The 15501-nt window shown below is 40.4% G+C and overlaps 1 protein-coding gene and 1 pseudogene across 8 annotated transcripts in view; both read right to left on the reverse strand.

Moving 5' to 3' along the window:
- On the reverse strand, positions 5002-5425 carry DNAJC19P5 (DnaJ heat shock protein family (Hsp40) member C19 pseudogene 5; annotated as a pseudogene).
- NFE2L2 (NFE2 like bZIP transcription factor 2) overlaps positions 6208-15501 on the reverse strand; it is a 34425-nt gene continuing 25131 nt past the window's right edge. For 3 of the 8 annotated variants that reach the window (NM_001313900.1, NM_001313901.1, NM_001145412.3), the window contains exons 2-5: positions 9910-10176; positions 9155-9244; positions 8297-8488; positions 6208-7913 (exon numbers count right to left, since the gene is read on the reverse strand). In NM_001313900.1, coding sequence (NP_001300829.1) covers positions 6690-7913; positions 8297-8488; positions 9155-9244; positions 9910-10173 — 1770 coding nt within the window. In that variant the 5' untranslated portion in view covers positions 10174-10176 and the 3' untranslated portion in view covers positions 6208-6689. The remainder of the gene's footprint in view (positions 7914-8296; positions 8489-9154; positions 9245-9909; positions 10177-15501) is intronic. The other 5 variants (NM_001313904.1, NM_001145413.3, NM_001313903.2 and 2 more) reach the window with 5 other exon arrangements.

Consider the following 15501-nt stretch of genomic DNA (forward strand, 5'->3'; position numbering starts at 1 on the left):
ATATGAGATATTTGGGTGATACATGTGAGGAATCTATGAACCTTTGAGGGGGAAAAAAGGATAAACGAGTTAGTAAATAGAAACAAACTAGGAGAAAAAAGTGGTTGCTAGGAGGGAGAGGACATTACAGATGTTGGAATTACCTAGTTTGATCTTGAAAGGCAGTGGAGTGGTTCAGTATTGTATGGTGAGAGTAAGTTGGGGAAAACCTTTCATGAAATTTAGTAGTCTTAAACGACACTGCCGTTTGACACAAAGGGAAAAGGGTAAGGATGATGTGGGTAATGATCATCCGTTTTGTTGGATTCATTTGTGGGGGTAGGTCTTTTGATAATTTATTTTTTGAAATGTGTGTATTTGGATTTCTAGCCTTAATAGCTATTAAGCACATTTTCCCAATATAGTTTTTTCAAGTGAAATACTTTATAAGTTGAAGCCAGCTGAGGATTCTTCGCTAGCTGTTAGACTTAATGCATACTCATTTTGCTTGTATTCAAACACTGGTTTCATGTTCTGTGCAGTTAAGTAATCTTAAAGAATGGCGTGTCTAGGCTGGGTGCGGTGGCTCACACCTGTAATCCCAGCACTTTGGGAAGCCAAGGCGGGTGGATTACAAGGTCAGGAGATCGAGACCATCCTGGCTGACATGGTGAAACCCTGTCTCTACTGAAAGTACAAAAAATTAGCTGGGCGTGGTGGTGGGCCACCTGTAGTCCCAGCTACTCGGGAGGCTGAGGCAGGAGAAGGGCGTGAGCCCGGGAGGCAGAACTTGCAGTGAGCAGAGATGGTGCCATTGCACTCCAGTTTGGGCGACAGAGCGAGACTCCGTCTCAAAAAAAAAAGGCATGTCTAATAATTTCAGTTTAATACTTAGGTCCTGGAATAATAAAGGACAGGTGTGGACTTATTTCCAACAAAAGTATATTTACCCTTGTTTTCTTAGAATAAAAGGACATTCTTACATAAACTGCAAAATATTCAGAAAATGATGAAATTTGAGTCTGCATGTGCATGTCACAGACGTAAATGTAAGGATTGTTTTGCAAAAATTGGATTGTCAAATACATTGGGTTGATTTTAATTTTGAATTGAATATACTACAATGCCAAGGTTTAGGGGGATGTAAGGGGGTAACAGGTAAAATAAGCCATTTTAAGCTTAACACATTTTCAAAGACCCTAACACCAGGTAATGGTAAGGATGCATTGAAGTGTGTACATTGTGCACAGTTCTGAAAGCTAGCTAGGAAATGGGAATTAACCCATACTGTTCAACTTTTATTGGTAAAGAAATAGTAACTGGGTGAAGGGTATACACAAGGATGTTGACAGCTTGAAAATGCCTTAAGATACATGAAATAGTTATATTCACTACATCCGTATATATAGCCGCTAATTACTTAAAGCACTTGTCATCGTACATTAAGGAATTGCGTAAAATGTTTAGCTGTATCTGTAGGCTCCAGGTAACTTAATTTTTTAATTGTATTACTATGATGTTCAGTAAATGCTGAGTGAACTTACATTCTTTAAAATACATCAAAAGAGGCTGGGTGCAGTGGCTCACACCTATAATCCTAGCACTTTGGGAGGCCGAGGCGGGTGGATCACGAGGTCAGGAGCTCGAGACCATCCTGGCTAACCCGGTGAAACCGCGTCTCTACTAAAAATACAAAAATTAGCTGAGCGTGGTGGTGGGCACCTGTAGTCCCAGCTACTTGGGAGGCTGAGGCAGGAGAATGGCGTGAACTCAGGAGGTGGAGCTTGCAGTGAGCCAAGATCACACCACTGCACTCCAGCCGGGCAACAGAGCAAGACTCCATCTCAAAAAAAAAAAAAAAAAACATATATATGTATCAAAAGAATTCTGATGGTTTGTCTATTTGAAGTCAGTGGTCTTATTTCTCTCAATAGGTACTGAAAGAAAACTTAATTTGTAGGTTTTTGTTACTCTGATTCTTGTGTCAGATTTTGTTTATCAGTAAGAAATGTAAATACAGAATGTAAAAGCAGTTTTGTGAGCTTGGGCAGGTTACTTGGTTCCTTTTTAATCCCGTGCGCTCTGGCAGATTGGTGTGCCAGCAGGCCCCTTGAATGTTGATTTTTTACATGGTGTGAGATACAAGTGAGATTACTCAAATGTTTCATGAAAATAATTACCAGAATAATAAGTTTATGACTTAATGTACTTGAAACACTAAATTAGGTCTGATGGTGGGTCTGATTTCTAACATTGAAGTTGTGATGTATAAGTGATAATGTGGTTTAAATTGTACTTTAAGACAAGTACAGTGAAATGCCAGTGGTTCATTGCCTGGAATATTGAAGGAAATGTTATGTGTTAGTAAAAATGAAGAAACTTTCTTCCCATCAAAATTGTCAGACCTAAAATCTATACAGGTTAAGAACTCCTGTTTTTAACCTGATTTCCTCCCCCCCACCTCCACACATGCACACACACACTTTTTTTTTGGTAAAATGGATTTATAATTCCCTCCCTTCAGTAAATCAGAAGGTTAAATTCAATAGCTTAAAGAACTTAGTACCTGTCTTATGGACCCTAAAGATAGTGTCTTGGTAATGCTGGATACTGTCTTACAAGGATATCCTGAAGCATACCTAAAATTTTAATGGGTGATAAAAGTTATGTCAATGTCTTAAGCGTTTCTCCCCCACCCCCCAACATAGGATTGAAGTTTTCTTTTGTTTTTTGTTTTTTTGAGACGGAGTCTCGCTCTGTCTCCCAGGCTGGAATGCAGTGGCGCGATCTCTGCTTACTGCAAGCTCCACCTCCCGGGTCCACGCCATTCTCCTGCCTCAGCTTTCCGAGTAGTTGGGACTACAGGCGCCCGCCACCACGCCCGGCTAATTTTTTGTATTTTTAGTAGAGACAGGGTTTCACCGTGTTGAACAGGGTCTCGATCTCCTGACCTCGTGATCCACCCGCCTCAGCCTCCCACCTGGGATTACAGGCGTGAGCCACCACACCCGGCCCTGAAGTTTTCTAGTCTTTAATTTTTTTCAAGTTCTCAAGTGTCAAAACAGCATCAACTGAAAACAAAGTGCCCTGGTAGCTATCATCTTTAAATTGGAATGAGAATTATCTTGTATATATTCTGAGGCTTAGTCACAAATATAGATATGGCAAACATATTTGAGCAGCGCTCCCCTCAAAAACAGGAACTTGGGAAATCTTGGCAAGAAGAAAGGTTTTTATACAAAGTTGTGCAATTACAGTTTGATAGTCAAATTTGAGGACAGTCAGGTATAAAGCTCTCAATTCAAATGCAGATCAAGAGAAATGAACACTTGGTTTTATTAGTCATGGCATAGTTGAGATTTGTTATTTGAAATTTGTAATTTCTCACAATAATTTTTTATTCTTCACTGTAATATTTTTAGGTACCATAAGTTTCTATGGCCAGTTCCCTCGTATGAATTGGTCAGAATACGTTGAAGTTTACTACCAAAGAATGTCTGTTTTTGTCTGCCCAGCAATGCTCTTCCCCCTTCAAATATCAGTCAATGTTAGGTGCTCCAGATAGCTGCTGCTGAGATTCTTGCCACCATCTCTGCACTCACAATTTGGTCTAAGAATAGACAGTTTGTTCAAGACCTGGGATTATGTTCTGAGTTTGGAAAAGTGATGTCTTCTCCCGAGATTCCCCATCACCACACCATCAGAGGAAGGAAGTTCCTTGATAGCACGTGAAAAATATTCAGGACCCCAAATCTTCACACTTGGCTTGGTGTGGTGGCTCCCGTGTAATCCTAGCACTTTGGGAGGCCAAGGCAGGCAGATCACTTGAGGTCAGGAGTTCCATACCACCCTGGTCAACATGGTGAAACCCTGTCTCCACTAAAAATGCAAAAAAAAAAAAAAAAAAAAAAAAAATTTAACCAGGTGGGTGGCAGGTACTTGTAATCCCAGCTACTTGGGAGGCTGAGGCAGGAGAATCACTTGAACCTGGGAAGTGCGGGTTGCAGTGAGCCAAGATTGTGCCACTGCACTCCATCGTGGGTGACAGAGTGGGACTCCATCTCAAGAAAAAAAAAAAATCTTCACATTTGAACCCTTAGATTCATTAGTCCTTGAAGTCATTTTCAATCCTGAACTTTAACAGTGAAATTCTCTAGTAAGCTAATTTGACTGGATTCACTTGTAGCCAAAAAGCATAATACAAGACCAAAGGAAATTGACAAAACACCCATCATTTATGCAATGTTTACTATGAGCTAGGCGCAGTGCTTTTTGTGGGGTGACCCACTGAGTACCACTCTGCTTTATAGATGAGAAAATATGCTTAAGAGGAGGCAGGAGAATGGCGTGAACCCGGGAGGTGGAGCTTGCAGTGAGCCGAGACAGCGCCAATGCACTCCAGCCTGGGTGACAGAGCGAGACTCTGTCTCAAAAAAAAAAAAAAAAAAAAGTGCTAAAGTGAGTTGCTAAACGCCATTCTAGGAATTAGCAGCAAGCCCATGCAGTGTTGCTAGGAGTCTTCACTGAATAGTTACACATGCAGTGCTTATTTTAAACATACTTAATGAATCTCCATTTCCTCACTTTAAAAAGGCAAAACAATATGAACAAGTGAAACCTGCTTAGGTGAAGAAATAATCGATAACTGAATGGCTCGTTGGAAAGCATGCAGATTTTCAAAGGGTTTTGAGGGGACTTGTTTTTGTACACTCTAGTTAACGTCTAATAGATCTCTCGGTATGTCCAAAAAGGAACTGATTTTCCCACGTGGGTCTCCCTCTATCCAGTCTTCTCCATCCTCAGACAACTCAATTCTTAAAGATGTTAAACTTCTTGACTCACATCCATTCTACCAGAAAATCCTTTTAGTTCTCTGAGACATGGCAGAATCCAATGTCCCTGACTACCCCTCTTCTATCACTCTAGACCAAGCTGCCATCATAATGCATGAACCTCTCAATTGGTTTTCTACTCCCATCCTTACCCTCTATACTGTTCTCAACACACAAGCCAGAGGAAATGTTAAAAGTTGTAGCTCTGAGGCATTTTATAGAAAGTTGATACTCATACACATAAAAAGTAGTAGGAACCTAAAATTCATCATACATTGATTTCATTTTTGAGCTTGACGTAGTAAATCCTTAGCTTCATTGATTTGGGTTGCTATATAAGGAGATCCTTCTTTGGGCGATTTAAGATCATATTTGTTACTGAGCATCTCTTATTTTTCCTTTAATGGCAGTAAGGCTTAGAGGTAGTATTGCTGCTTCCCATTTTGTCCTTTTTAGTTCAAGCCCACCTCTCTAATAGCCACCGCTGAAGGCAGATTTTGGTAGACTTTGAAAATCCTGTTTTACTTCAGGCTATATGTGCTTCCTGACTTGCAAAACCTGCAGCAGAAATGGCCAGTCCAGCTGCCACCACTGTACTGACCGTGGCTGCAGCTCAGCTTCTTTCACCTCCATCTGGATTGGTACAGCCACCTGCCACTAACTACACTCCTTTACCAGAAAGCTAGGCAGCCACTGCCAGCAGTCACAAACCCCAGAGGGAACTTTAAAAAAACAGTTGAGTGTTACTCCTGAACAGCACCATTAGCGCCCCACCTCACTTACGTAGACTTACGAGGCTCTGTCATATTCCACCCCCATCCCTTTCTTCAGCCACATTGTCCTTGTTTTTTCTCAAATGTGGTTCAGCCTTTGGACCTGCTGTGTCTTGTCTGCAGTGTTCTTGGCTATGAGAACAGCTTCTCCCACACCTTCAAATGTTGCCACTTCAGTAAGGCTCTTCCCATTTACAGCCTTAAGTTGTGACGCTTTTTACTGGTTTTCCCCGTCCAGTTCCTTCTAACATAGTGGAGTATGCTTGTTACCTCCCCTTCGCTAGAATGCAAGTTCCAGGCCAGGCAGGGATATTGGTTTTGTCCTTTCTACTTCAAACTCTGCCTAGGGTATAGTGGGCGTATGTCTACTGATGGAAATAAATGAATCAGTGCTTTCATGTCAGTGTGTAACATTTTCTTGGGTTTAGATGTACCTGCTATTGAAGAGGCAAAGTATCCTCTTGATATACTTTATTTCTCTGTAACCCTGGTACTAGAAATGTAGTATAAAATTATTTTTATATTTTCAAATAAAACATTCTGAAAATGCAAAACATCTAAATTAAATGGATGATTATCTTATGGAAAATACTGTGTGAATAAACTCAAAGGAATCCCAAACAAATAATTTAACAGTCATAATAATCCTTTATTAGTACCAGCTCTTAAAATTTTTTTTTTTTGCCAGAGCTAAACAATTTAATATAAAAAATGCCATTTTTTGTCCATACAGTATTTATAAAAAAGTACATAGTGGTTAGTTTTGCAATAATTTCTTTTTAGCCAGATGTCATATCATCATATAAATCTATGAATATAACAAATGACATAAGAACAGTATAAATAAGTTTTTGTAGTATTTACACTTACACAGAAACTAGCCCAAATGGTGTCCTAAGAAATTGTTTACAGTTAAAGTGAAACTACTGATTCAACATACTGACACTCCAATGCTTTTTAAAGTTTCGTATTATTTTCTATACTAGTTTTGGCTATGATTTTGCATAGAATTACTTATAAAGTATGAGCATTTCACATCACAGTAGGAGCTTTTAGTATAATAGTACAAAAAAACTAGCTCAGAAAAGGTCAAATCCTCCTAAATCTAGTTTTTCTTAACATCTGGCTTCTTACTTTTGGGAACAAGGAAAACATTGCCATCTCTTGTTTGCTGCAGGGAGTATTCACTAGGAGAATAAGGTTTTCCATCTTCATCACGTAGCATGCTGAAAACTTCGAGATATAAGGTGCTGAGTTGTTTTTTCAGTAGGTGAAGGCTTTTGTCATTTTCTCCTTTTTCTTTGAGCAATTTTTCTTTTTCATCTTTCAAATGATCTAAATCTTGCTCTAGTTCTACTATATTTTCCAGTTTTCTTTTTCTGCAATTCTGAGCAGCCACTTTATTCTTACCCCTCCTACGTATATCCCGAATTAATGCAAGTTGAGCTTCATTGAACTGCTCTTTGGACATCATTTCGTTGAAGTCAACAACAGGGAGGTTAATGATTTTTTCTACAGGGAATGGGATATGGAGAGCTTTTGCCCTAAGTTCATCTCTTGTGAGATGAGCCTCCAAGCGGCTTGAATGTTTGTCTTTTGTGAATGGGGTTTTCCGATGACCAGGACTTACAGGCAATTCTTTCTCTGGTGTGTTCTCACATTGGGCATCATGCACGTGAGTGCTCTGCCCCTGAGATGGTGACAAGGGTTGTACCATATCCCCAGAAGAATGTACTGGTGTTTTAGGACCATTCTGTTTGACACTTCCAGGGGCACTATCTAGCTCTTCCACTTCAGAATCACTGAGGCCAAGTAGTGTGTCTCCATAGCTGGAAGATTCCACTGAGTGTTCTGGTGATGCCACACTGGGACTTGTGTTTAGTGAAATGCCGGAGTCAGAATCATTGAATTCTGCTGTGCTTTCAGGGTGGTTTTGGTTGAAAGCTTTGCAAAGTGATAGATCAGAAACATCAATGGGCCCATTTAGAAGTTCAGAGAGTGAATGGCTTAAAGTAGCAGGTGAGGGCATGCTGTTGCTGATACTGGGCTCAGCTATGAAAGCAGAATAAAATTCATCACCAAAATCTGTGTTGACTGTGGCATCTGAATTTAATGAGTTCACTGTCAACTGGTTGGGGTCTTCTGTGGAGAGGATGCTGCTGAAGGAATCCTCAAAAGCATTAAGAAAATGTGGACTACAGTTACCTACTTCTTTTTCCATTGAGGGTATAGATGAGTAAAAATGATAATTGTCAACTTCTGTCAGTTTGGCTTCTGGACTTGGAACCATGGTAGTCTCAACCAGCTTGTCATTTTCAATATTAAGACACTGCATGAGAAGGAAGTTTATACTATATAAATCAAAGTTAATCCATGATAATACGTGATAAATTTAGATAAACTCCCTACCCACATTATCTTCAGGCTTATCTCTATAATTTATTATCTATAATTCAGAGATAATTCTCATTTCCAATACATATTTACGCCTAAGCGTTATGTATTATTTTCAGAGTTCCCAGATCAGACGTCAGGTTTATAACATTCTATCCTCAAGATGTCCAACCAATTTAACTAGCATGGGCAGTACTCATGACTAAGTTAATAGCACCCTCCAATCCTTCCTATAAATAGGTGGTATATAAATAATCAGAATGACTAAAGGCACTGAATATAAAAAAAATCTCCAGTATTACATTCTATTTTAGTTACCTGTAACTCAGGAATGGATAATAGCTCCTCCCAAACTTGCTCAATGTCCTGTTGCATACCGTCTAAATCAACAGGGGCTACCTGAGCAACAGAAGTTTCAGGTGACTGAGCCTGATTAGTAGCAATGAAGACTGGGCTCTCGATGTGACCGGGAATATCAGGAACAAGTGACTGAAACGTAGCCGAAGAAACCTAAAATTGATAAGGCATTGATTTATGAGTCTTCCACCAACAGGGGATGAGTAAGCTCTAAGGCACCACTACAAAACAAAATGGAATCAGCTGCAGTTCTGTGTCTCTCTACTTACTAACCAGTCATGACCCCGTTTGTAAATAACAAATCTTTTTTTCCTACCCCACTGACTCAAATTTATAATTTGCTGGTCTGTTTCAGCTTAAGCATTTGAAAGTAAACTTTAAAATGCGTAAGTACAATCTTTAGGATTTAGTTTATATAATATCTAGCACAGTGGTACTAGATAAAACAGATTTATTAAAATTGTTAACTGAACAAGTCTTCGTTTATTGCCCAGCTGGCTCTTTACTCACCAAACCTCTTAGATACTTGCAGCAAATGGGTTATTTGTTTCCATGGTTATGCTGTCCATGTTTCTGGCTATGCAATAGTCAATGGTTTTGGTTTTGTATTGTGTGAAGGGTTTTTTTTTTTCTTAATTGTAAAGTTATTTATAGGCTAAGGTTTCCTTGACAAGAGTATTTCCTTGGTTAAAAAATTTCCTCCTAAAAATGTTTTTATTCTTTTAAATGGAGATTCATTGACGGGACTTACATAGAATAGATTGTTATTTTATAGTTATGATGGAGTTTTTCTATTAACCAGGTTATTTTATACCTCACCTCATTGTCATCTACAAACGGGAATGTCTGCGCCAAAAGCTGCATGCAGTCATCAAAGTACAAAGCATCTGATTTGGGAATGTGGGCAACCTGATAAAAGGGAATGACACAAAGGAAAACAAAAATGGTTAAATATTCCATTGCCAAGCTAAATATTCAATAATTGATGTTCATAAAATATTTATAATCAAGTTAAGTAAATATTTATCTTATTTCAGAGATCACTTTGATGCACAATTTGAACTAGACCACATGGGTTCAGATCTTAGCTCCTCCAATTTTCTGAGTGATCTGGGCAAATTATTTAACCTTTGTGAGCTTCAGTTGCTCATCGTAGATAAAACAGGGATAATGGTAACTAATTAATATAGTTGTGTTAATTAAATCAGTCAGTATATGTTCTTAAAACAGTGCTTGCCACACACAGTAACGCCAGTAATCCCTGCTACTTGGTTCTCCTGCTACTACTTCTGTTGCTGCTACTTGATCCTTACAGGATGTTTCTATACTTTACAAAACTCTTTGGTGTAACTTAAGTCTTCCCAATCCTCACAATAACACTGTTAAGATCAATAGGTTGGGTACTGAACTCAGGTTAGGTACTGAACTCATCAGGAGGCTGAGGTTGGAAAGTAGATTTGACAAGGTTAAGTAAAAGAAAGGCAAAGCTGGAACTCAAATCCAGATATTTTAATTCCTTGCTCAGTGTTTCCTTAAACCTGCCATAACTTTCCCAAGAACTGAGTACTCTGTACCTGGGAGTAGTTGGCAGATCCACTGGTTTCTGACTGGATGTGCTGGGCTGGCTGAATTGGGAGAAATTCACCTGTCTCTTCATCTAGTTGTAACTGAGCGAAAAAGGCTTTCTCTTGCTCCTTTTGGAGTTGTTCTTGTCTTTCCTTTTCAAGTTTTTTCTGTTTTTCCAGCTCATACTCTTTCCGTCGCTGACTGAAGTCAAATACTTCTCGACTTACTCCAAGATCTATATCTTGCCTCCAAAGTATGTCAATCAAATCCATGTCCTATGTTTAAGACAAAAAAAGGAAGGAGAGAGCTCATGTTTTTTAAATGACAGATACCACATAAATTAATTCACATTATGCCACTGTTGATGGTGGGAAGTGGGGAGATTACAAATACAATCTAAATGAGAACACAGATCCAATGTTCTAGAAGAGCACAGTTAATTCCATTCAATGAATCTATTCATTAAAGACAACAAACAACCTACAAACACATAGCCATCCATTCTAATCACTTGGATCATTAATGATAGGGTGATGGTAGAGGTCACTAAAGGGCAAAGTCACAAATGGTTTGAATGAGAAGAAATCCCACCCTTGTTTAATGGAATATAGAAATTAGAGCAAGCACTCTAAGCCACTGGCTTATATAAGAGAAGTGGGGTCTGGAAAACATTACTGAATACATGGAGTTTTCTTTAAACTTTGCTCAGCAAATATCCAGTTTATAGAGGGATAACTCTCAAGTTAAAGTGTCAATCTAGCAGTTGTGAAATATCACCATTCTTTCCATCTTTCCTACACTAGATTATCTTCTCCCCATCACTGCTTGCTACTCTTATCTCTGTGGCTTACCTATATGCCTGTAATCCCAGCACTTTGGGAGGCCAAGGTGGGTGGATCACCTGAGGTCTGGAGTTCGAGATCAGCCTGGCCAACATGGTGAAACCACGTCTCTACTAAAAATACAAAAATCAGCCGGGTGTGGTGGTACGTGCCTGTAATCCCAGCTACTCAGGAGGCTGAGGCAGGAGAATCGGCTTGAACCTGGGAGGCAGAGGTTGCAGTCAGCTGAGATCGCACCACTGCACTCCAGCCTGGGCAACAGAGCAAGACTCCATCTCAAAAAAAAATAAAATAAAAGCAGACAGGGACAGGTGCGGTGGCTCACGCCTACAAGCCCAGCACTTTGGGAGGCTGAGGCAGGTGGATTGCTTGAGCCCAGGAGTTCGCGACCAGCCTGGGCAACATGGAGAGACCCTGTTTCTACCAAAACAAAAACAAACAACAACAACAACAACTGGTGTGGTGGCGCACACCTGTGGTCCCAGCTACTCAGGAGGCTGAGGTAGGAGGATCACTTCAGTCCAGGAGGTCATGGCAGCAGTGAGCTATGATCGTGTCACTGCACTCCAGCCCGGGCAACAAAGTGAGACCCTGTCTCATAAATAAATAAATAAATAAATAAAACTATGGCTCCAGGGAAGGATTAAAGGTATTAAGTTTTAAGACATAGGAAGAATCTTACAAAGAGGGAATGGTTTTGATGAGGAGAGGCTGAGCTTGGTGACTCAGGCCTGTAATCCCAGGAGTTTGGGAGGCCAAGGCAGGAGGATTGCTGGAGCACAGGAGTTACTAGCCTGGGCACCATAGTGACACCTGTTTCTACCCAAAATCAAAACAAATTAGTTGCACGTGGTGATACGAGCCTGTAGTCCCAACTATTAGGGAGACTGAAGTGAGAGGATTGCTTGAGCCCAGGAAGTCAAGGCCATGGTGAGCTGTGATTGTACCACTGCACTCCAGCTTGGGTGACAAGACCCTGTTTCACACACACAAAAAGATACATGGGGAGAGAATTTATATGACTAGGCTAGGCATAGGAACCACATCCAGATTTTCCTAACCAAAAATGTGTCAATAGCAGTTTTTCTGATTTGTAATTTTAGTCTTTGGAAAAATCTAAATAGGTAGGAAATCTAAATCTGTTTCCATTCCACAAATCACCTATAGGGGAAATAATTAATTTGAGAATGGAAAAAAATCAAGATGGGGGAACGGGAGTTGGGACTTGAAGGCCAGTGGGTACAGTGTAGACACGTCACACTTTGCATTTCATTCTGCTGACAGCTGGCAACGCCAGACTTAGAGTTCTATTACTTTCAGCTTCCCAAGGACGCAAATAACATGGTGGTTGTTTCAGTGAGGAGTCAGGCTATTTTTATCCAACAGAGGAGCAGGCCACCCAGCCTGGAGGCAGCGCAGCTAGCTAGATGGCACAGGCCACCTGTGTCCATGATTGAAGGTTGGCGTTGGAATCTTAAATGCTATGAAACCCTGCTCATGGGGCTCATTATTCTAGCCTTGAACAATATATATTGTAAAGCACACAAAGTAGGCATAGTTAAAGTAGCACTTGTAGTTAGGTATACCTCACTAGGACATACCTAATTATCTTTAAGCCAGTATCTATTAAGGGCTTCCTATATGCTATGCACTGTTCTAAGTACTTTACATATAGAAACTATTCCTCAAAACAGCCTTATACAGAGAAAACATTCCTGTTATACAGTATAAGAATACTGAGGTTAAGAAAAAAGATACTACCAGAAAGTGGCTGAACAAAGACACATACCCAGGCAGCTTCAGTCGGGTTCATGCTTTATTAGCCATGAGCCTACACTATTATAAAATGGCATGGCATTTGCTGCAAATAACCTATGCATATCCCTTTATATACTTTAACTCATCCCTGGATTACTTACAATACCTAGTAAAGTGTAAATGCTGTGTAAATAGTTGTTATACTGTATTTTATGTGTGTATTGTTATTTTTTCGGGTTTTTTTTCCACTTTTTTCCTTTTGAAATTTTATTATTTATTTACTCATTTTGAGATAGGGTCTCACTCTGTCACCCAGGCTGGAGTGTGGTGATGCAATCATGGCTCACTGCAGCCTTCACCTGGGCTCAAGTGATCCTCCCACCTCAGCCTCCCAAGTAGCTGGGACTACAGGCACATGCCACCAAGCCCAGCTAATTACTTTTTGTAGAGATGGCGTCTTGCCATTTTGCCCAGGCTGGTCTTGAATTCCCGGGCTCCATTGATTTTCCTGCCTCAGCTTCCCAAAGTGCTAGGATTACAGGCATGAACCACTCCACTGTGCTTGGCCTTTTTCCAAATATTTTTGAACCAATCTGCCATTGGTTGCATCATGGAACCAGAGGCTGCATGGGCCGACTGTATATACACTTGGCTTTGGAATCTTGGTAGTATGAAGCGGCCAGTCTGCAGGTCAGATTAAGTCTGTAGGTCACCTAGATCAGTTTCCTGGCCAAGAGCAACAAAATAGCAACCACAGAGCATTCAGTCGACTATACATGGCTATCTTCTCAGGGGGATTCCCACTAAAATAGGTATGAGAATAATTTCTATTTTAAAAAATGATTTGTTTCCATTCTGATGGACATGTTTACCCAAAGGTTATCATGGGAGACAGAAAATTCAAAGGTATAGAGAAACCTACTTTATTTTATTTTTTTTTGAGACGGAGTCTCGCTCTGTCGCCCAGGCTGGAGTGCAGTGGCACAATCTCAGCTCACTGCAACTTCCGCCTCCAGGGTTCAAGCAGTTCTCTCACCTCAGCCTCCTGAATAGCTGGGATTACAGGTGCGTGCCACCATGCCCGGCTAATTTTTCTATTTTTAGTAGAGACAGGATTTCGCCATGTTGGCCAGGCTGGTCTCGAACCCCTGACCTCAAGTGATCTGCCTGCCTCGGCCTCCCAAAGTGCTGGGATTACAGGTGTGAGCCACCACGCCCAGCTGAGAAACCTACTTTAAAATTCTGATTAGCTTGGGCCGCTTCTTCTCAGTAAATCTAGATACATAGCAGGGTATCCTGTCTAGACTTTCTGCAAACTGGAGCTATCTGCCCAAGCAAGGTATTAAGTGTTCAATATGTTCCCATCTTCTAGGTACTAGCACCAAAAATGAAAGGAATGCATGATCCTGCGATCTTAATTGAACTCTGTAAAATAGGCAGTCCATGTTCCCACCCATCTCAAGAAGTGATGTGCAAAGTGTGCAAAGCTCTTTGCAAAGTCAATCAAAGAAACTCAAATACTTGTCCCTGTACGTGGGGAAAAGTGTACTTTGACACATCCCTGCCTCACCCTAGACTTCCTGGGCCTGAGGTTTTTTCTTGTTAAGGAGATCCCAGGATAAAAATCAGTAAAAGGTTGTGACTTTTTCATGCAACTGAAGCAATTTAGGTTGCAAACATCTTCTGCTCATAAATCTGACTTGCAAAGTATCCTTACAACCAACCCTCATGAGCTGGAAGAAAATATTGAATGGAATTTATAATTGTCAGTGTCAATCATGCCAAGAATTGAAATAACTATTTAATTTCCTTTCCCCCCCTTTTCCTTCCCATCAGATGATAATATTTGAGGGGTTTGGATGGCTTTAGCTATACATTGTTTAATTATTCCATCCTACCCAAGCATACAGATGTTAGTGGATCAAATGAGGCACGTGAAAAGTATCTCTCTATAAATGTAAAATATGCAAATGTTTACATGTTGACAGTGATAGGCTCTACTACTTGCTGTATAAGCGAGACCAAAGTCCAGGCCAATGGATAATAATGAGGTTGTGGACCTAACTAGGGGGAGCCTAAAATAATGTTGGGACTACCTAGATGGTCAGAAAGAATGAGCCAATTAACTTCTAAAATCATGGACAGCTTCATTGCTTGGTTCTTCCTCAGGGCAGGTCTGAATTAGACTACTATTAACATGTTGTAATAAAAAAGGATTTTGATCTCAGAGATTCTGAATTATTTACAAATAATAAAGCAAATTAATAAGCAAATTAGAAGTTTTAGTGGATATTGCTCTTGATGGTGGTTTTGTTACTGTTGGTGGGGGTAATGGTGATGGCAGTGGGCACGCCCATATACATTTGCATACACTCTAATATAAATGTTTACAAACATACACACACACACATTCAATTGCCACTCAATTCCTGCTGTGAGTACCCTTCAATGGACAGCTCCAAACCAATTCAATGTTTTTTATTTGAATTTCCCTTGACATGACCAGAAAAAGACATCTTTATGAATCCTTATCAACAAACAGGAAAAATAAGACATGAAGCATTATTTAGACTAGCTCTTGAGCATCCTGTTCACGTTACCTGAAACAATGCTGGACCCTGGGAGACTAAGCAGCTCCTGCGGCCCTAGCTTACTGTCTCCACCAAGAATGCCACCAAATGACATCTAATTGCTCTTCATTAGGCTGGGGGACATTCAGTGCAATCGTAATAGGACCAAAATAGGTTTCAAAGTGTTCTGAAAGGTTTTCCTGTGTATTTTTAAGTTTATATTTATGTGGCCAGGCATGGTGGCTCACGCCTATAATCTTAGCACTTTGGGAGGCCGAGGCGGGCAGATCGCTTGTGCTCAGGAGTTCGAGACCAGCCTGGGCAACATGGTGAAACCCTGTCTCTACTAAAAATACAAAAATTAGCCGGGCGTGGTGGCATGTGCCTGTAGTCCCAGCTACGTGGGGGACTAAGGTGGGAGGACTGCTTG

The sequence above is a fragment of the Homo sapiens genome, chromosome 2 (genome assembly GCF_000001405.40).
Source record: "Homo sapiens chromosome 2, GRCh38.p14 Primary Assembly".
NCBI lineage: Eukaryota > Metazoa > Chordata > Mammalia > Primates > Hominidae > Homo > Homo sapiens.